The sequence below is a fragment of the Homo sapiens genome, chromosome 20 (assembly GCF_000001405.40).
Source record: "Homo sapiens chromosome 20, GRCh38.p14 Primary Assembly".
Lineage (NCBI taxonomy): Eukaryota > Metazoa > Chordata > Mammalia > Primates > Hominidae > Homo > Homo sapiens.
Genome location: NC_000020.11, coordinates 759,676 through 781,472, shown reverse-complemented (window position 1 = coordinate 781,472; position 21,797 = coordinate 759,676). Strand labels below are relative to the sequence as shown.

Below are 21,797 nucleotides of genomic sequence, written 5' to 3'. Positions count from 1 at the left end.
CTAAAAACACAAAAAATTAGCCAGGCATGGTGGTGGGCACCTGTAGTCCCAGCTACTCAGGAGGCTGAGGCAGAAGAATAGCTTGAACCCAGGAGGTGGAGGTTGCAGTGAGCCAAGATTGCTCCACTGCACTCTGTCGCCCACGACAGAGCGAGACTCTGTCTCAAAAAAAAAAAAGGGTCCATGAAAATCTGACCTTATGATCAAAACATTAAAATTGAGTTTAACATTAATAACACACTAATATAAAGGTAAAATTTGGCTTATTTGGTATGAAGTCATACAGGAAGCATTGTCAAATATAAAATAATGTTTGGCTTTCTTTGGGCCATATTTGTATAAATATGTTATTGGTATGTGTTCCAAAGTTATGGGAGACTCCTATAATTCTGATATGTCTTAGTGTGTGTTATCAGTAGTAATTATAATTGTTATGTTAAAATTATTGTGTGCCACAGAAGTAACAGATTTCCTTGTCAATTGTGTCTTTAACTATGGCTACCCTAAAACTTTTGGTCATCCATAAACAATTGTTGTCTTGTTTTGATCCTCTTTAGAAGGGTTTTATACTCAGCTATAAAGCTCTAACAGGTGTTCTTGAATGCAGGTTTCTGATAAATTTGGAGATTGTGACATCAGAATACAGGAAAAATGGTTAGGACTCTTAGCTAAAATGTTCATTAATATCAAGCAGGACAGGAATTAACTGCACGAACTGAACTAATAGGAGACTGGAGTGATCTTTTTGATATTTTGCTTAAAATATTGCTAATACTTTGTTTTGCTTTTCAAAGTCAAAGAAACTTTTCTTTATTTTATTTTATTTTTAGACGGAGTTTCGCTCTTGTTGCCCAGGCCAGAGTGCAATGGTGCAGTCTCGGCTCACCACAACCTCCTCCTCCTGGGTTCAAGCGATTCTCCTGCCTCAGCCTCCTGAGTAGCTGGGATTACAGGCATGTGCCACCACCACACCCAGCCAATTTTGCATTTTTAGTAGAGATGGGGTTTCTCCATGTTGGTCAGGCTGGTCTCTAACTCCCGACCTCAGGCGATCCGCCCGCCTCGGCCTCCCAAAGTGCTGGGATTACAGGCATGAGCCACTGCATCCGGCCTCGAAATTTTTCTTTTGAGCTATTAACAGCTTTTAACAATTTAGTATACTCCCATGAACAAAATTTGTAGCATACTTGTTTCTCTCTCCCTGATTTTCTCCAGAATTTGGAAACTATCTGTGAGTATTCTTAAGTTATGGCGATATAGTTATTTGCACAAGTGTAATAAGAATCTGTTTTCTTTTGTAACAGGACACAATTGGAAAAACTGGTTTTTTTACCAAGGCCTTGACTGGAATGGTATGCTTTCCTTTAAGGAATCAAACTTGATTTACGAAGCCAAGAAAGCCCTTGGAAACTGGCCTTATATTTTGTGTACACAGTCCCTGTATAGGGCTTCTGATCTGTGGTAAGCAAAGAATGCCCTTTCTGAGAGGCCGGGAACCCTAGGTTATCTTGCAACCTCAAGAGGAAACTCATAGGTATTTAATGGTACAATTCCACGGCTAGCCTCAGCTTTACAGTCTTATCTTAGATTCTTTCTATGGAACAATACATGTTACACTGTTAACTTTTAGCAACTTTTACTTTTGTTAGTCAGTTTGAGATTGTAATTATGTACTAGATGTAGAGCCTAGGACCTAGACAGAAGTGCAGATAAGGTCTGACTTATTCCAGCATTTAACTCCATGTGTGCTAGGTCTTACCCAGCTACAAAGCAGGCAAGTTGTACAGTTAAGAGTTATGGTGGCATTTTATAAAGCATTCAGGAGGCCTAGTCGCTCTTGTTTTTGTTTTCTTTAGATGGAATGTCACTCTTGTCGCCCAGCCTGGAGTGCAGTGGTGCAATCTCAGCTTACTGCAACCTCTGCCTCTGGGTTCAAGCTATTCTGCCTCAGCCTCCCGAGTAGCTGGGATTACAGGCACCCACCACCATGCCCAGCCAATTTTTTGTATTTTTAGTAGAGACAGGGTTTCATCTTGTTGGCCAGGCTGGTCTCCAACTCCTGACCTGAGGTGATCCACCCGCGTTGGCCTCCCAAAGTGCTGGGATTACAGGCGTGAGCCACCGTGCCCGGCCCCCTCATCACTTTTAAACTGTACAACATTTCTTGCATAAATTCCCTTTTATAAAATTTTTACAATTTACACAATCTCTGACATGCCTCAACTTTCTGACTCGTTGTAAACATCCTTCTTTTTAAACAACCAATTCATTTACTTTAGAACAAGAATTTACCATATAAGATTATTTTTATATAAATTCTCTTTTCTTTAATATCAAAGATGATAAGTCCTTTCCCTAAAGAAACTTCCTTCACGTCTGTAGACTAGACTTCCTAAGGCCACAGGATTAGAAGTTAGGGTATTTAACTAAATAGTTCAAGATATAGCTGCCTTTATTAAACCAATATTGATGTTTCATTATTAAAAAATTATACAAGCAAAGATTATTCTGTTTGGATTGAGTTATAGTTTTGTACCCTCTATGCCAAATTTTGACACCTTATAGTATTTGGCAGAGATAAGTATGAAATTGTGGCCAGGCACAGTGGCTCATGCCTGTAATCCCAGCACTTTGGGAGACCAAGGCAGGCAGATCACCTGAGGTCAGGAGTTCGAGACCAGCCTGGCCGCTGCACTCCAGCCTGGGCGACAGAGTGAGACTCCGTCTCAAAAAAAAAAAAAAAGAAGAAGAAAGTGGCCATCCTGCAAGCCACATAACTCACACTCTGCAAGGCTTAACTTCTCCCTTGGCATCATAAATTTAGAGTCCTGCAATTTTTTTTTAACAGATCCAAAGTATTTGGTACTATAGAGAAGGGAAACATGGCTTCCCTCCACCTTTCATGGTTCTTTGGCTGGGCTATGAATTAAATTGACATGAAACTGAGTAACAGGAGAGAAACCATATTTAATTACATATCTGTGCGTGGAAATCCCACAAAATATGAGACTCAAAGAAGGGTCAGATGATTGAAGTTTAAGGAATAGGGTCTTAGGGCTTTGGGGGATTGGCGGAGACACAGTTATGGGAGGGTGAGGGGAAGAATTATTGTATGGTAAATAATGGTTGTCTTCCTGTGCAGATAAAAGTCTGTCTGGTGGCCAGTGTAGTGGCTCAAGCCTGTAATCCCAGCACTTTGGGAGGCAGAGGCAAGAAGATCACCTGAGGTCAGGAGTTCGGGACCAGCCTGGCCAACATGGTGAAACCTTGTCTCTACTACAAATACAAAATTAGCTGGGCATGGTGGCGTGCGCCTATAATCCCAGTTACTTGGGAGGCTGTGGCAGGAGAATCACTTGAACCCGGGAGGCGGAGGCTGCAGTGAGCCGAGATTGCAGCATTGCACTCCAGCCTGGGCAAAAAAAAGTGAAATTGTATCTTAAAAAAAAAAAAAAAAAAGAAAGTCTCTAGGGTAATTCTTCTGGAGCAGCCTTTTTCCTGATACAGGCACCTTTACTAATGTAGATTTCCTTGATAGATGTAAATTTCTTTTACCAAAGAATAGCTTTCCAGAGCTACTCCTGTGTCTGCAGTTTCTCTGAATAACCAGCTCAAAGTATGTCAAAGAGGTGTATTTGGGGGTGGCACATTCTGGTTTCCCAGAGTCATATTTTGGGGGTGTGTATGTCCTGAGCCCCAACAGTGGCAACACTTCCTGAACACCTGCCTGCTAAGCGAGGGGTCTGGCCCCTTCCCTAGTGCCTGCTCACCTCTCGCCCCAAGCATTAGCCTGGAGAGTGATTGATTGCTTGTTAAGTAAATGAATGTCTTGGAAAATAACACAACAGGCAGGCCAGAATTATTTGTAGAAGTCAATATGCACTGAGCATTTACTAGGTGTCAGAATCTGTGCAATATGTTTTACATCCATGGAGGCACCAATTTGAGTCTGCATTCACATCCTGGCCCTGCACTTACAGGCCGTAGCACTGTGAGCAACCACTTTTGTAAAGTTAATGAGAGGCCATCAGGCTGGGGAAAGAAGAGGAGCCTGGGTCCTCCTAAGGTGTAGACATAAATGATTGCCAGCCATTATTCTGGAGGTTATAAGATATGCAACTTCCCCAATTACTCCTGCAAATAACACCACTGTTGCAGGTTGGCCTTTTGAGATATCTTTCCAGTTGGTGTTTTTTTTTTGTTTTTTGTTTGTTTGTTTGTTTGTTTTTGTTTTATTGAGACAGAGTCTTGCTCTATTGTCCAGGCTGGAGTGCAACGGCGCGATCTCGGCTCACTGCAACCTCCGCCTCCCGGGCTCAAGCAATTCTCCTGCCTCAGTCTCTCCAGTAGCTGGGATTACAGGTGTCCGCCATCATGCCCGGCTAATTTTTGTATTTTTAGTGGAGACAGGGTTTCGCCATTTTGGTCAGGCTGGTCCTGAATTCCTGACCTCAGGTAATCCACCCGCCTCGGCCTCCCAAAGTGCTGGGATTACAGGCATGACCCACCACGCCCCGCCATCTTTCCAGGTTTTTTGCAGATTTGACACCCATGGCTCCACCTAAACCTGATGTCTCCACCAGGACCGCCAACCCTGCTCCTGTGGCCCCCCCCCCAAAAGCGATTCAGCCTGTAGGAGCACAGCTTCAACCCCCTATGATTTCATCTCCACCCCAACCAATCAGCAGCAAGCACCTGTTACCTGGCCACCCCCAACTCTTCCCCTATACTGCCTTTGAAAAACCCCTCACCTACAAGCTTTGAAGATGATTTGGGAACAAACTCATTTCCCCTGTGGCATGGCCAGCCTCATGGTCTTTCTTTATGCAGTGGGCAGAAAGAACCCCTCAGGTGGTTACAGTATTTGTCAGGGTAGCTCAGTGTGCATCAGAGACCAGTTCTGCCATATACAAGGTGTGTGACCTACACAAGGCTCTCGACTTCTCTGGGCCTGTTTCTTCATCTGGAAAATAGGGATAGTAATAGCATCTCTCCAAAAGGCCATGAAGATTAAATGCATTAATTTCTCTCAAGCCCCAAGAACATGCCTGACACTGAGTCAGCTCAGTGCACACTGGCAGTTAGGATTTCTGTCCTATGAAGAGGGCACTATTATTATCCCCGCTTTCCACATGACTTACTGAAGCACCAGTATTTGAACTGTTTTTGCTCCAGGGAACTCTCTTCCTGTGTGAAAGGAATTATGGAGATCTCAGGGTGATGCCAGAACCAACTGTTTGCACATAGCTTTTGTCAACTGGGGATCAACCCTCATGAAATCTGGGTGGCAGAGAGCCTCAATAAAGCAAGCCCTTTATTATACAGTTCTACCATCTGGATCCTCCTCCTAGCTGGGCTGTAGGGCAGATCAGAGACACATAGTAGGCGCCTGGTCTTGCCGGGAGCCACACCCACCCTCCGCCTGCCTTTCCCCGAGCTCTGGGCGGGGACAGCTTTATACAAAACGAGCTGCCTCTGGCCCCTCCCATGCAGAGCGGCTGGGGAACTGGACCAGCAGGTAAGTGGGCAAAGCGGGGCGGCTCAGGCCTGTGAGGGTGCAGCTGCAGCTACCAAGGCTGCCTGCTAGCTAGGAGCATGGGACACTGACCAGGATATGGCAGGGGCACTTATCTGGAGCCAGCAGGTGTCCCGTGGCCTTTCCCCTAGTTTCAGGCTGCCATGTCGGGAGAGTCCAAAGAGATAGGAGGGAAGAAAGGTTTCCTCCTCAGCTGGCATGTGGAGTCAGGACAGGCTGAGCCATCCAGGTGAAAGATCAAAGGGACAGGAGGGAAGAAAGGTTTCCTCCTCAGCTGGCATGTTGGAGTCGGGACAGGCTGAGCCATCCAGGTGAATTCCAGACCCCTGGTGCCTCCAGACCAAAAGGCTGGGCCCATGCTGGGTGTCATGGCTCACGCCTGTAATCCCAGCACTTCTGGAGACTGAGGCAGGTGAATCGCTTGAGCTCAGGGAGTTCAAGACCAGCCTGGGCAACGTGGCGAAACTCCATCTATACAAAAAATACAAAAATTACCCAGGTCGGACGTGGTGGCATGGGTTAATAGTCCCAGCTACTCAGAGGCTGAGGTGGGAGAATCGCATGAGCCAGGAAGGTTGAGGCTGCAGTGAGCTCAGATCATGCCACAGCACTTCAGCCTGGGTGACAGAGCGACATCCTGTCTTAAAAAAAAAAAAAAAAAAAAAAAAGACTGGGCCCCCACTGACTTTACCCAGGGCCATCTCCATGCTATCTCGGAACAACTTGACCAGGCTGAAGCCGCAGGAGCCTGGGAAGGAGGCTGGGAGTTGGGATGGACGTGGAGGGGAGGGGAACTGGCCTGGGGGAGGCTGCTCCACCAAGGTCAGCCCCATGGGAGGCCTGAAGCCCTTCCTGGCCTTGGGAGGGAGGAGAAGGGGGAAGAGAACTCACTGTCCGCTTCTACTGGCCAGGCTGAGCGCCTGTTATCTCATTCCCTTTTTCCTGGTCTGCTGAGCCCAGAAAGGCTGGGCATTCCCAGACCCTTTCACAGATGGAGAAACCAAGGCCTAGAGAGGGTGAGCAGCTGACCTGAGGTTGCACAGCCGGTGAGCACAGGCCTGAATGTCTGCCACAGCCTGAGATCAGGGGTGGGGCAGGGTTCGGGGAAGCACTATCTCCTCTCTGGGCCTTGGTTTCCCCACCTGTGCAATAGGGACATTGAGTTGGGATGAGTTTCAGGGGAACTCTGAGGTCCCAGCAACAAGAGGTAGAGATGGCCTTCTGCTACATGTGGCTGTGAACAGTGAGGGTGGCTGAGGCCAGGCTCCCAGCGCCCCAGCTGCCTCCTGCCTCCTGGCACCTCCCTGCCTCCCTCTCAGCCGCAGCTTCTCATTTTTCCCTGTCTCTGTGCCTCTGTTGTCCTTTCTCCCCATTTCTGCTTCTAGCTTTCGGTTCTTTCTGTCTCTTTGTCTCAGTCTCTTCTCTCTCACTCCCCTTCATCTCCCCCATCTCTCCCTGTGGGTTTTGTGGTTTTGACCTCTCAGCCTCCCTTCTTCATGGGCTCAAAGTCAGTCCATTCCTACCCACTCTCATGAGGGTGAGGCCAGGCCCTAAGTAGACGCCTACAGGCCTCACTAAGTTCTCCAGGAGCCTGGAACCCAGGAAAGAATTGGCTCAGACCCTTGCCCAGGAGTGAGATGTATCCAGTGTCAGGCTGCCACCTGGCACTGCCCCAGGGGTCACCCTGGCCAACACAACCCTCATAGCTGAGGCGGGTTTCCTCCAGTCTGGCCCACAGGGCTAGGTGCCTACCAGCTGGCAGATTATCCCTGCAGAGCGAGAACCCAGCCATGGTGCCAGGAGCTCAGGTGGCCCAGCCCGTGGCAAGCCAGATGGTCACCTGGGCACTGGGGGAGAGGACAAGCCCCCGCTCACATGGAGATTACACTCCAATGGGAGAGACCAGCGCTCAACAGATAGACACAGATAAACTCCCGTAACTGAGCTGGTGTCAGTAATACTTTGATGGAGGAAAACAGAGGGCAGGAGAATGTGGAGGGGGGCGGGGGACATTGGGTGGGATGGAAGCTGCCTGAGCTCCCTGGAGGAGATGGCCCAGCCCACACAATGACGGTGCACTGGCCCTGGTCAGAACCCCACTCCCAATTCTCTTCACTTTCTTGGGCTGGGGGCTCACAGCTTTTGATGCAAGAATGCAAAAGAGAAACCTTTGCCTGGAACTGATCCTTCTAGCTTCTCTATCTGTCGCCCACGCATTATGGGGCATCTTAACTGTCTCATGCGAAGCCTTAGGTTTCTGGTCTCTGGTGATCACATAAGGGGTCCTGGATCCTTGGGAAGCAGATATGTCTCAGAGCCTCTCTCAGCTTCTCCTGAGCCTGTACCCCATTTCTCTCTTTCTCTGGCCCAAGTCTTGGGAGGCCATCTGTGAGCAGAAAGAGATCCTGCTCAGCTTGACCCCCATGGCCCCTTCAGAACCCCTTCACCCTGAGGCCTTTCTCAGGGCTGGGTCCACAGTCAAGCATGCCTGGATGTAAAGCTCAGCTCCCAGCTGTATGACCCTAGGCAAATTTATTTCCCTTTTAAACCTCAGTTTCCTCATCTGTAAAATGGAGATAATCATAATGCCAGCCTCAGGATTGTGGAACAAGATTTGACAGGTAATGTGTTCAAAGAGCTTAGCACAGGGTCTGGCACAATAAATAGCTGAGGAGTGGCAGCTATGGTTGTCACTGTTGTCATGGTGATTGTTAGCTCTTTTGCTACAGCTTCCTAACCCTCCGAAGGTTTACTCCTGCTTCCTCCCTGGCGCCTCATGTTTCTCCTCACAACAGCCAGCACGATCCTGTTAAAAACTAGATTAGAGCTGGTCTCTTCTGCCCACTCACGGAGCTTTTTGCTCTAGAGAAAACACCCAAGCTGTCACCACAGGGCCACAGGGGACCTGCCCTGTCTCCTCCCCTCCAACCTGGCTCCCGCTGCTGCGGCCACACTGGCCTCCTAGCTGTCCTTTGAACAGCAAAATCCACTTCTGGGACAGAGCAGGTGTGGCCGCACCCCAGGGCCTTTTCACTTGCTGTTTTCTCCCCTGGACCGTGCTTTCTGCAGACAGCTCACTCCCACACTCCCTTCATGTCCTCTCCTTGACAGCGGCACATTCCCCATTCAGGAGCTTTGCTTTCCTCCGGAGTCCTTGCCACCATCTGACCTGCTCTATGTTTCTGTTTTTTATTCTGCTTCGTGAATGCTTCCTCCAACTTCCTGAGAGCAGGGATTGTGGTTGAGCACACAGTTGGTGCCCAAGAAATACTGGTTAAAATGAATAAATAAGAACTGCAAGGTCACTGTAAAATAAACAAACAAACAACAACAACAAAAAAAAAAAAAACAGAAAATACAGATATGCATCTTTTAAAAGTATCCCAACACATTCCGAACACCAGCCATTCTGAGTCTCTCCTTTTCTCTGGGGCCTTTTTGCACATGTAGTTCCCTCTGCCTAAGACATCCCCTTCATTGACATTAATGACTGTTCCTCACTGTGTCCCCGAGGTCCAAAAGCACACCTCACTTTTGAGGAAGGAGATAATTTGGGAGTGGGCCAGGGCCATAGGGCAGATGGGTCACGTGGGGACACACCCCCACTGTGCCTGGTTTCCAGACAAGGAAACAGACCCCCGGAGCCAAATCCCATCCCTCAAGTGACACAGCCGTGGTAGCACCTGGGTCAAAACCAGAGAATTCGTCTTTGTGGGGAGCAGGGATTTAGGCGTTCAGAGCTTAGGAGTTGTCGAACATACAAGAAAGTGAGGCTACTTCTGCCCTGTCTGCCCTCATCTCCCCATCCAGCCCTCTGTGGGAAAGCTACTGATGTTTGTAAATGTTTAACTGGACACTCTCATTAGTTTAATAGCTTTTCATATGGCAAAGGTCACCATCATCTGCAAATTCGCCTACTCCCCTTAACTACTGACTTAGCCCTCTTTACTAGGTATATCATTTATTGCTTTTGCTATATCCTTGTTTATTTTGCACCTTCGTCTGCTGTCTTGACCTGGAAGGGTGAGTCAGGCCTGTACTGCTGGACTGTGCTTCTGTCCATTTCTCCTGGAATGTCTGAGGCTATTTCAGGAAATATTCAGAATACAGATAGTCACTACAATTTTGACTCCTTTATGAATTAGAGTTTTGATATATGAAATGACTCTTGGTCTCAATTTATACTTTTGGTACCAAATGCTATATGGAGGGTTCTGTGTTCCTCTGTTCCTCCCTCTTTCTCTCTTCTCCTTTTTTTTTTTTTTTTCATATCTCTGCAAGACATTTGCCCCCAAGGGTCTAAACAACTACTTTTGTTAAATTTTGATTTTTGATCAAATCCTGGTTGGGACAGGACCTAAGTTTCAGAGTCAGAAAGTAGGTGGTAAAGGAGATAAATGTATTCATTAGTTTTTGGTTACTATAATCTTTCAATATATATCCTGGAATGTGTATCTCTGTGCACTTAGTATGGAGTAGTTTTTGTCTGTTTGTTTCTTTTAGTTTTTTGAGACAAGAGTCTTGCTTTGTCGCCGAGGCTAGAGTGCACTGGCGTGCTCTTGGCTCACTACAACCTCCACATCCCGAGTTCAAGCAATTCTCCTGCTTCAGCCTCCCGAGTAGCTAGAATTACAGGTGCCCACCACCATACCTGGCTAATTTTTTGTGTTTTTGGTAAAGACAGGGTTTTACCATGTTGACCAGTTGGAGGCTGGTCTTGAACTCCTGACCTCAAGTGATCTGCCAACATCAGCCTCCCAAAGTGCTGGAATTATACGAGTGAGCCACTGCACCCAGCCTCTGAGTACTTTTGTTGTACATAAAATAAGAGTGACTTAAACAACATAGAAGTTTCTTTTACAATTTAACAACAACATTAAACAAACAAACAAAACAGTTCAACACAGGCAAAACAGGGCTGGTATGGGTGCTCTCTGCCACAAAATCCCAAAGGAGCCTAGTATGCATCTAACCCCCACCACATGCCTCATAGCACAAAATCGTTGCTGGAGTTCTGGCCATCACATCTGATTCCAGACAGCCAAATGGAGGAAGAGCAGAAGGGCACACTCCCTTATTGTTAACTCTTTCCCTGTTTGCCAGAAGGAATACCCACTTGTGACTGCAGTGTTTACCCCAAGATAACTTTGCCACAAAATACCTCGCTTTTATTATTATTTTTGCCTTGCTCTAGTATATTGACTTTGGAAACAAAAGACATCACTCTATTTGTAGCATTCTGGTTTTAGTCGTGGTATTTCCATTTACAAAACAAAGTAATTCTCGATCGCTGAAAATAGCAAATCCTAGCATTCCTATGTGTGATGTTAACATTGTTCTTGAACAGTTGTTGACCAAAGATTCGTTTGATGAATCCAGTTTTTCTGAAATAGATGAGTCTGATGTTAGTTCTGGTTAGAAATAACTTCAAAAACAGTTTTTACATGTTATTTTCACATTGAAAATCAGTCAGATTTAGGGCTGGGCTTGGTGGCTCACGCCTGCAATCCCAGCACTCTGGGAGGCTGAGGCGTGGGGATCACTTGAACCCAGGAGTTCGAGACCAGCCTGGCAACATGGAGAAACCCCGTCTCTACTAAGAAATATAAAAAATTAGCCGGACATTGTGGTGCACGCCTGTAATCCCAGCTACTAAGGAGACTGAGGCACGAGAACTGCTTGAACTCGGGAGGCGGAGGTTGCTGTGAGCCGAGATCAAGCCACTGTAGTCCAGCCTGGGCTACACAGTAAGACTCTGTCTCAAAAGAAAAAAAAAAAAAACAGCAGTCAGAATCAGATTTGCTTCAGCCTCAAATAGCACGTTTACATAAAATTAAATGAGTGCTGGCAACGAGCTGCACTTTTTTTTCTAAACAGGAAACGGGCTAAGGAGACTACTCAAAGTCGCATTTGAATTCATTGGCCTGTGCTTGATGACATGGCCATGTGCAGCTACAAAGAAGGCTGGGAAATGTAGTCCTTTAGTTGAGTGGCCATTTGTCTAACAAAAACTGCGCCTTTTTTTTATTTTTTCTTTTTTAAGATGGAGTCTCGCTCTGTTGCCCAGGCTGGAGTGCAGTGGCATGATCTCGGCTCACTGCAACCTCCACCTCCCAGGTTGGAGCCGTTCTCCGGCCTCAGCCTCCTGAGTAGCTGGGATTACAGGTGTGCGCCACCATGCTGGGCTAATTTTTGTATTTTTAGTAGAGACGGGGTTTTGCCATGTTGGCCAGGCCAGTCTCGGACTCATGACCTCAAGGGATCCGCCCGCCTCATCCTCCCAAAGTGCTAGGATTACAGACGTGAGCCACCGCGCCTGGCCAATAACTACATGTTTTTGAATGCAACTGATACGTTTGCTGAAATAGTAATCTTATAATGATGGTTCATTGAGCCCTCACTATGTGGCAGGCACAGTTTTAGCACTTTAGTGCATGTTCCTAGCAACAGTTCTGATGTTGGTACTGACAGCCTATAGCTGTTTTGCAAGAGAAGACTCTGAAGCACAGGAGGTTAGGTCACTTGCTCAGCTTGTAAGGGTTGAAGCTGGGATTTGAACCCAGGCAACTGGTTCCAGATGTTACCGCAGGGGAGAGCTCCAAGATGGCCCGAGTCTAGAACAGAGAAAGAGGCCAAAGTGGGGGGCCACTTCTTCCAAAATATTCCTGAGAAGCCAGAAATGCTGAAGGTTGCTTGCCATCCCCTCCACTGCTGATTACAGTAACAAATTGTTAAACACACTGGGCAAACCAAAGTAATATATCTGCTGTCTGGCAGTGGCCAGTGAGTTAACAATTTACAAATCCTAAGCTAAGTCATTGAGAAAGGCCCTTCCACCTTCAAAATGTCAGATTCCCAAGCAGCCCCTGCCCTCAAAAAGCTTCAGTCTCAAGGTATGTGCCTGCATGCACCCACACAAGAACAACCTGAAATGAAGGGGTCATGGGCCCTGGTGAGGACGCCTGAGAAGGTGAGGCAGCCAGAGGTCTCCTGGAGGACGGAGTCTTGTAGAAAGCTTGGATGTGGACAGCAGAGGGGGCTGGTGCTCCAGGCTGGGAGGACAGCACAGGCAAAGGTGTGCCACTGCTGTCTGGGAGCTTCCCCTCCCTCCTTGGGTCCTCTTGGCACGCCTGGAGTGGGCCTCACCTGTGCTATTAGTCAAGTCAGCTTCCTAAGGGAGGGAATGGAGTCTGAGGCCCCCAGAAGGGAGGGGGCAGAGCGGGACTGCTAGGGGATCTGACTGCGTTACACCCCAGGAGTGGCTCCTCCCAGAGAGGAAAAGGAGGTGACCAGAAAGGCCACTGAGCATTGGGTTCGCTCAGTGAAGGTATGAGGAAGGAAGTCCCAGCCCTGTGAGGGAATTCCGTGTGTGGGAACCGTGGGGAGGAGCTGCCAGGATTCAGGAGTTTCCTGGGTGAGGCGTGGCCACAACGGACACTCCTGCTTTGTACTAGAAGGAAGAAGTATGGAGTTAAAGACTGCAGCGTGAACTGAGGAGTCCCGGACAGGCCGCTTGCTGCAGAGGATCCAGTCCAGATCCCAGGAGAGCCCCTCTGCCCCTTCGGACCTCGTCTCCCATCTACAAAACGTGAAGATTGGCCCAGTTAGCGTGTCTCTACAAAAAGGTGCATATACCACTGGTGAGTTCACTTGATACCTAGTAGGGGAATCTTTTCCTTTTTTAAATTTTCATAGTCATGTATTAATTCTCATGTGAATTAGACAAAAATAACGATGTCACCAAACCTGCCATTTCACGATAATGATCAGTAACCCTTAGAGGTGCTTACCCTATGCTGGGACTGTTGGAAACAGCATAAACTCACCAGCATCCTTATATCTCACAACAAACCACGGAGTTCATACTATCACTATCCCCTACTTACAGATGAGGAGATGAGGCAGAGAGAGGCAAAGCCACTTGCCCAGGGTCACCCAGATTGTAAGCAGCAGAGCCAGGGTCAAACTCAAACAGCTGGCTCCAGAGCCTCACTCCTGGCATCTCCCATATTACTGCTCAGACTAAGGATAGATAGAAGAAAGTTGTTAGTAACAGCACAGGTGGGCTGCCACTGGTAGCTGACAAAGGGGTAAACAGATGGCAGAATGGCTCTGGAGGGCTAGAGGAAGTGGTCTCCAAAGGCCACGTAGAGAGTGATATAATTTCAGGAGGAAAAAAAGCCAGATTGAAATCTTATTTCAGGTAACCATATATTTGCATCAGGTAATATGTTTACATGGTTCACAAATCAAAACTCTTATTAAAAGATATACAGAGGCAGGGCCAGGAGCGGTGGCTCATGCCTGTAATCCCAGCACTTTGGGAGGCTGAGGAGGGTGGATCACAAGATCAGGAGATTGAGACCATCCTGGCTAACACGGAGAAACCCCATCTCTAATAAAAATACAAAAAATTAGCTGGGCGTAGTGGTGGGCGCCTGTAGTCCCAGCTACTTGGGAGGCTGAGGCAGGAGAATCACTTGAACCCGGGAGGTAGAGGTTGCAGTGAGCTGAGATTGTGCCACTTCACTCCAGCCTGGTGACAGAGTAAGACTCTGTCACAAGAAAAAAAAAAAAGATATACAGAGGCATCACCAACATCCCTGCAGTCCCTGTGTGTCCTTCAAGGGTTGCTTTGTGCAAGTACAAGCAAAGAAAACATGTTTTTCCTCCTCTTCTATGACCAAAAGGCAGTACACTTTTTCCTGGTTCCATTTACCTGCCTTGATTTTGTTTCAAGATTATTATTATAGCCTGGAGACCTTTCCTTATCAGTCACCAAGATCTGCTTTCCTTATTTCTTATTCCTTTAAACAGGTATGTGGTATTCCAGCAGGTCCCTTTAATTAGCCCCCTCTCTGTTGGTAGCCACCCAGGAGAAAATTTCCCATAACTTGCTATTACCAACAAGATCGCAATCTATAATAACCTTGAACATGAGTCATTTTGTCAGGCTTTGGGACAATCTCATGGTGAGAAATGGCACCTGGAGTAGTTTTCCTATTGTGAATGAAGGTGATAATATTTTCATGTGTTTAAAGCTTATTTGTACCTTTTTCTCTGAATTGTTCATATCCTTGGCCCTCTTCTATATGGGGTCTCTTTGTTCTTGATTTTTAAAAACTCTTTATATATTAGGAATGTCACGCGCGTCCATGTGAAGAGACCATCAAACAGGCTTTGTGTGAGCAACAAGGCTGTTTATTTCACCTGGGTGCAGGCGGGCTGAGTCCGAAAAGAGAGTCAGCGAAGGGAGATAGGGGTGGGGCAGTTTTATAGGATTTGGGTAGGTAGTGGAAAATTACAGTCAAAGGGGGTTGTTCCCTGGCGGGCAGGGGTGGGGGTCACAAGGTGCTCAGTAGGGGAGCTTCTGAGCCAGGAGAAGGAATTTCACAAGGTAATATCATCAGTTAAGGCAGGAACCGGCCATTTTCACTTCTTTTGTGATTCTTCAGTTACTTCAGGCCATCTGGATGTACACGCGCAGGCTTGGGCTCAGAGGCCTGACAAGGAAGATGAGCCCTTTGTCTGTGATTTATGTGGCAAATGTTTTCCCCGTGTTTTCATTTAACTTTTGACCTTGCTGTTGGTATCTTTTGCAGAAGCTGCTTTGTTTGCTTTTGTGTGTCGGATTGAACTTTTCTTTCATGAATCACGGTTAGGAAAGGCTTCTCTTGTTTTCTGCTAATAAAAAGACAGCTTGGGCCAGGCGTGGTGGCTCACACTGTAATCCCAGCACTTTGGGAGGCCGAGGCAGGCGGATCACCTGAGGCCAGGAGTTCGAGACCAGCCTGACCAACGTGGGGAAACCCTGTTTCCACTAAAAATACAAAATTAGCTGGCATGGTGGCATGCACCTGTAATCCCAGCTATTTGGGAAACTGAGGCAGGAGAATCACTTGAGCCCAGGAGGCAGAGGGTCACTGAGCCGAGATCATCCCATTGCACTCCAGCCTGGACTAAAAGAGTGAAACTATGTCTCAAAGGAAAAAAAAAAAAGCCAGCTTGTTCACAGGAAGGGGAGTAATAAGAGAAAACTCTGGGCCCCAGGTCCCAGCATCTTGCTAGGTGGTGAAGCTGGAATTACTCACCTGGTGTCCTTCTCTGCCAGCCCCGCTGCAGGCTGATCTGAGAAAGCCTCTGGCCCAGGGCAGATACCGCCATGGCCTTCCTGATGCACCTGCTGGTCTGCGTCTTCGGAATGGGCTCCTGGGTGACCATCAATGGGCTCTGGGTAGAGCTGCCCCTGCTGGTGATGGAGCTGCCCGAGGGCTGGTACCTGCCCTCCTACCTCACGGTGGTCATCCAGCTGGCCAACATCGGGCCCCTCCTGGTCACCCTGCTCCATCACTTCCGGCCCAGCTGCCTTTCCGAAGTGCCCATCATCTTCACCCTGCTGGGCGTGGGAACCGTCACCTGCATCATCTTTGCCTTCCTCTGGAATATGACCTCCTGGGTGCTGGACGGCCACCACAGCATCGCCTTCTTGGTCCTCACCTTCTTCCTGGCCCTGGTGGACTGCACCTCTTCAGTGACCTTCCTGCCGTTCATGAGCCGGCTGCCCACCTACTACCTCACCACCTTCTTTGTGGGTGAAGGACTCAGCGGCCTCTTGCCCGCCCTGGTGGCTCTTGCCCAGGGCTCCGGTCTCACTACCTGCGTCAATGTCACTGAGATATCAGACAGCGTACCAAGCCCTGTACCCACGAGGGAGACTGACATCGCACAGGTACCCAGCATCACCCGGAGCCATCTCAGCACTTGGCTTTATCACAAATGTAGGGGAGGGAAAAACTGCTCACCTCCATCCTTCTAGGTTCTTTGGTCGGCCTATGAGTTAAACTGACATAAGGCAGATCAACAGCAGGAAACTCATTTTAATTACTTACATACATACGCATGGGAGTCCCCAAAAAATATGAGACTCAAAAAAGGGCCAGATGATTTCAGCTTCTATAGCATCCTGAGCTACAAAAGGGAATAGGGGCTTGAGGCTACTGCAGGATGGTGGAGACAAATTATGGGAGAGTGAAGGGAGGAAACTTATGGTGAATAAACATTGCACTGTTATGCAGATAAAAGTTCCTCGGGTGATAAAGGCCATCACCTTTCTCTTCCTGGTTCAGATACCCCTTCGTGGTACAGATACCTTTTCTTGGTACAGATAAGATAGCTTTACTAATAAAAATTTCCTTTAGATGTAAATTTATCTTACAAAATGGCAACTTTTCAGAGCTACTCCTTAGCCTGCAATTTTTCAAAATAACCAGCTAGAAATAAAAAATATGCCAATAGGTCAATTTTGGGGTGGCATATTCTGGCCTCCTACAGTCATATTTTGGGATGGCATGTCCTGAAGGCCCTTATTTCCTAGACGATGGGTGGAGCAGTGTTCTTCCTTAGGTGGGGGCTCTCCCCTTAGGTGGGGGATTCTCCCCTTAGGTGGGGGCTCTCCCCTTAGGTGGGGGATTCTCCCCTTAGGTGGGGGCTCTCCTCTTAGGTGGGCGGCTCCACTGCTCAGTCTCCAGCTAGCTCCTCCTCTGAACATGTTTGTGGTTGCCACTGCTGTGGGGTGATAAAAGGTGTAGCTTCCAAGTCAGAAAGCACCAGGTGGAGTCTGGCTTTGCCACATTCTCCCTGTGACCCTCAGGTAAGGGACGAAGCATTCTGATACCTCAGTTCCCTCTAAAATGGGGGATGATGGTGCCCACTGTGCAGCCCTGTTAGGAGGCATAGGGGCTTATCCATGCACAGTGCCCGTGCTCAGTGGGCAGTCAGTATGAGCAGTCATTATTGCCACCTTGTTAGTTATGTTTATTTATTCATTATCCATTAATAATAACAGGTGATCTGTATTCTGTTATCACTGTCATGATTGTTGTTCTGCAGCCTGATCCCCTCCCCTGACCAGGGATCTGTCTTGTCCTTTGCAGGGAGTTCCCAGAGCTTTGGTGTCCGCCCTCCCCGGAATGGAAGCACCCTTGTCCCACCTGGAGAGCCGCTACCTTCCCGCCCACTTCTCACCCCTGGTCTTCTTCCTCCTCCTATCCATCATGATGGCCTGCTGCCTCGTGGCGTTCTTTGTCCTCCAGCGTCAACCCAGGTGCTGGGAGGCTTCCGTGGAAGACCTCCTCAATGACCAGGTCACCCTCCACTCCATCCGGCCGCGGGAAGAGAATGACTTGGGCCCTGCAGGCACGGTGGACAGCAGCCAGGGCCAGGGGTATCTAGAGGAGAAAGCAGCCCCCTGCTGCCCGGCGCACCTGGCCTTCATCTATACCCTGGTGGCCTTCGTCAACGCGCTCACCAACGGCATGCTGCCCTCTGTGCAGACCTACTCCTGCCTGTCCTATGGGCCAGTTGCCTACCACCTGGCTGCCACCCTCAGCATTGTGGCCAACCCTCTTGCCTCGTTGGTCTCCATGTTCCTGCCTAACAGGTGTGCCCTCATCTGGTCCTAGGGAATCCTAGTGGGGGAACACTTCATTTCAGAACCCAGAATTCCAAACGCACCTACTGGGCTGTACATGTAGTGGTTAAGAACATGTTTGGGGAGCACCCTGGTCCAAATCCCAGCTCTGCCACCTGTCAGCTGTGTGTAAGACAAGTCACTTCAGTTCTCTGTGCCTCAGGGATATTTATCGGAAAATGGGAGTGTAACATTCCACCTCCTAGGACTGCTGGAAGCATGATATGAGCTGATTCTATAAAGCTCTTGGAGCGGTGCCTGGCACGTGGCAGGTCCAGCCTAAGCGTTGACCATCATTGTCATCAGTCCATGAGGAGGAGCAGATAGCCACTGAGGTTCCCGTTTATAAGGGGAAACCCTGAGGCTTGGAGAAAGAGCTTGACCTGGTCTAATTCCCAGGATTTCGGCCCTGCCTTCCTGCCTCTAACCTCCTGCTGGTTCCCTTAGAGCCACAGTTCTAGAAGAATGGCTGGGCAAGTTGATAAAATGCAGATTGAACCAGCCTAGACTGGGACCTGGGATTTCAATTTTTAGTAAGGAAACCAGACGGTTCTGAGGCAGGGGCTTCAGACCCCTGTAGGAGAACTACCACCTTGGGATCTTGACATTTGAGGTGGGTCCTACAGCCTCGTATCCACGCTGGCCTGCCTGTCCTCACTGGCCTGCTTACACCCACTCTCCCAGCCCAGAAGAAGGACAGTGAGGACAGAAGAGCTTGACAGAAAGCTTGCCAGGAAGCTGGATTTTCTACCTTGGGACCTAGAAACTGGAAAGAGGATGGAGGATTTGAGGGAAGCAGGACCAAAGGCTCAGACCTGCAAATCCAAGAAACCCCAAATGTTAGAATTACAGAATCTGAGTCATGGAATCCAAGAATCTTGGAGCAGAAAGAGTCTTTAAGGGTATAGGCAGACCTCTGTCTGTTCTTACCCAGGGCGTGGACCAGTCTTGGGGTTCTAGAGATTGGGACCCCAGGGACAAGGACCTGTGAGGAAGGACAGTGGTCCCAGATGTAGGTTTGCATGGAAGGCCACCTGTAGAGAGATGCTCCTAGCAGCAACAAGCCAGCTGCCAGGACCCCTGGAGATCAGCACACTCCACATTGCAGAGGCAGGTAGCTGAGGCCAGAAGGGGAGGGGTCTCCTGAGGAGGCACAGCAAACCCTACTGTGCCAATGCCCGATCCAGCCATCTTCACTTCAACTCAGCTTCCTGGCTGAGGCTGAGGGTGTGTTGCAGGAGGAAATGCCAGCAGGTAAACACCAGGTGGGCCCACAGCGGCGCCAGGCCTGCATGCTCTGCTCCTGGAGGTCATGCAGCCTTGCAAAACTCCGATTTGGAGGCTCAGAGGCGAGTCTCAGCTTAAACAGTAGAACTGGGATTTGAACCAGGACCATCCGGTGCCAGAGTCCATTATGTTTTTCTTGCCGGGGTGCCAGGCCCTGCCGTTAATGCTGGGGATGACTCAGGCCAGCCCTGCCTGCTCAGGAGCCTCCCTGACCCACTTGAGCCAGGCAACCTGGAATTTTCCACATGGGTCTAAACTAACTATGGAGACACTGGCCATCCACATGCCGCCCAGTGGGGCGGGGGGGTCAGAGGTCAGGCTTCTCACCTCCACTCACCTCCCCTACTTTCCTCTAGGTCTCTGCTGTTCCTGGGGGTCCTCTCCGTGCTTGGGACCTGCTTTGGGGGCTACAACATGGCCATGGCGGTGATGAGCCCCTGCCCCCTCTTGCAGGGCCACTGGGGTGGGGAAGTCCTCATTGTGAGTATCCGGCCGGTGGGGCTGCTCCCGCTGCGTACCCCTCACCCCTAGCCAAGGCCTGGGAGAGCTTGGGCGCGGCCCTTTCCAGCGAGCGGGGTCTGTGGGACCCTCCCGGGAAGCCCCAGGTGGGGGAAGCGCCCCTTCCTCATTTGGGAGTGGAGGCTTAGGGAATCGAGGTGACTGGTAGGCCTCTTCCCACCATGTGTACCTCAGCAGGGGCCTTCTCTCAAGGGCCCTTGCCCTGATCATGGGCACGTGAACCCAGAAAAGCCACTGGATTCTCCTTCGCCCCCGGGCGGCCAACTCATGGGACCCGTCGGCCCCGCAGGCTCACTCCCAGAAGGCGCTCCTCGCACCTAGAGAGTATTCCGTGGGTTCCCCTGAGCCCTGTGAGAGTTCTTTGCTCCGGCGCTCGCCCCGCAAGCCCCGTGACTCTGCACCTCTTCCCTCCCGGCCCCGCAGGTGGCCTCGTGGGTGCTTTTCAGCGGCTGCCTCAGTTACGTCAAGGTGATGCTGGGCGTGGTCCTGCGCGACCTCAGCCGCAGCGCCCTCTTGTGGTGCGGGGCGGCGGTGCAGCTGGGCTCGCTGCTCGGAGCGCTGCTCATGTTCCCTCTGGTCAACGTGCTGCGGCTCTTCTCGTCCGCGGACTTCTGCAATCTGCACTGTCCAGCCTAGGCAGGCCGCCGACCCCGCCCCCATCGCTCACGGACGGAACTGGGGTCCAGAGAGGCCAGGTCACAGAGCAAGGGGCAGGAACAGAGAGACAGAGCCTGAGTAATTGAATCATGAACGCAAGTGCCCACTGGGGACTGTGGGGAAGATGGCACCTGGAAATGCAAGGTGCGGCTCTATCCCCAACTCTGTGTCACACTACCTGTGACGACCAGCTCAGATCTCCTTTGCTTTGACTCTCAAGAGAGGACTGATTTGCAGCATCTAGCTGGAGGCAGGCCCAAGGGTGTTAGAAGGGAAACAGCTGGGACAGCCGGCTGTCCCTTCAGGCTGTGTGACCTTGGGAAAGTCATTTGGCTTCTCTGTGCCTGTTTCTTCATGCATGCAGTGGGGATTCCAGTAAGTACCAACTACCTCACAGGCATGGCACGGAGGCAAAAGGAAAAAGCAGCCCGCATCAAGCAAGCCCTCCTGGGCCACCTGCTGATCTGACAGTCCATCGTAGTAACAAGAGTGGCAGTCTGCACAACCTAGAAGTGGCCAGAAGGGTTGAGACACGCCCCTGCCCTCTCTCCTTTGCCCCTCAGTCTCACAGAGGGGCTTCTACAAGACAAGCAGATAACGATAGAATCTTGGGCATCTTGGCTTTCGGATTCTCAGTGTGGAGGGACGTAGTACCCCACACACCCCTTCCTGTCATCCTTCCTGGCCCATAAAGCCCACTAGTTGGAGAGTAAGTACCCTCCTGGAAGCCGGGAGAGATGATTTGCTGGTGGGGCTGGGGAAGGCCCATCCCTGAGCCTCTGAAAGTGAACTCCCCGACCAGGTTGGGGACCAGACATGCAGAGCCCCTGGAAGTATTCTCTCAAATGGAGGCAACAGAGGTGATTGTTATTTTGTTTTAGTTTCTGTTTTTCATTTTTTTAAATAAAGGCATTCCCTGCTTTTACACTCAGATCTTCCTTCAAAGGAGAAGTTCAGGCATGGCACAGTGGCTCACACCTGTAATCCCAGCACTTTGGGAGGCCAAGGCGGGCAGATCACTTGAGGCCAGGAGTTTGAGATCAGCCTGGCCAACATGGCAAAAACCCATCTCTACTAAAAATACAAAAAATTGCTGGTCATGGTGGCACATGCTTGTAGTCCCAGCTACTCAGGAGACTGAGAATTGCTTGAACCCCAGAGGTGGAGGCTGCAGTGAGCTGAGATCGTGCCACTGCCCTCCAGCCTGGGTGACAGAGCAAGATTCTGTCTCAAAAATAATAATTTTAAAAAGAAGAAGTTTAATGTGAACTCCGAAAATGTGTAATTAGTTTTCACTTGGTTCTAAGCTCAAGGCTGAGCTCAGAAATG

The 21,797-nt window shown here is 49.4% G+C and overlaps 1 protein-coding gene across 6 annotated transcripts, besides 2 other annotated features; it reads left to right on the top strand.

The window, feature by feature from the left end:
• SLC52A3 (solute carrier family 52 member 3) lies at positions 1,440–21,393 on the top strand. 6 transcript variants are annotated; one of them, XM_047439868.1, is made up of 6 exons: positions 1,440–1,461; positions 12,991–13,176; positions 15,648–16,265; positions 17,470–17,975; positions 19,649–19,772; positions 20,235–21,393. In XM_047439868.1, the coding sequence occupies exons 3-6, from the start codon at positions 15,699–15,701 to the stop codon at positions 20,445–20,447; spliced, it is 1,410 nt and encodes a 469-aa protein (XP_047295824.1). In that variant the 5' UTR covers positions 1,440–1,461; positions 12,991–13,176; positions 15,648–15,698; the 3' UTR covers positions 20,448–21,393. The 6 variants fall into 6 exon arrangements, with proteins under 6 accessions (XP_047295824.1, NP_001357014.1, NP_001357015.1 ...); NM_001370085.1 differs by lacking the exon at positions 1,440–1,461 and adding an exon at positions 5,488–5,518; NM_001370086.1 differs by lacking the exon at positions 1,440–1,461 and adding an exon at positions 5,488–5,518 and having other exon boundaries at positions 15,139–16,265.
• Positions 5,014–5,716: an enhancer, noted in NCBI's record as "H3K27ac-H3K4me1 hESC enhancer chr20:756400-757102 (GRCh37/hg19 assembly coordinates)". NCBI's record gives its function as "activates a minimal SCP1, AML or CMV promoter by ChIP-STARR-seq in naive H9 embryonic stem cells {active_cell/tissue: H9 hESC(naive)}" and the evidence as "EXISTENCE:reporter gene assay evidence [ECO:0000049][PMID:30033119]".
• Positions 12,299–12,798: an enhancer, noted in NCBI's record as "H3K4me1 hESC enhancer chr20:749319-749818 (GRCh37/hg19 assembly coordinates)". NCBI's record gives its function as "activates a minimal SCP1, AML or CMV promoter by ChIP-STARR-seq in primed H9 embryonic stem cells {active_cell/tissue: H9 hESC(primed)}" and the evidence as "EXISTENCE:reporter gene assay evidence [ECO:0000049][PMID:30033119]".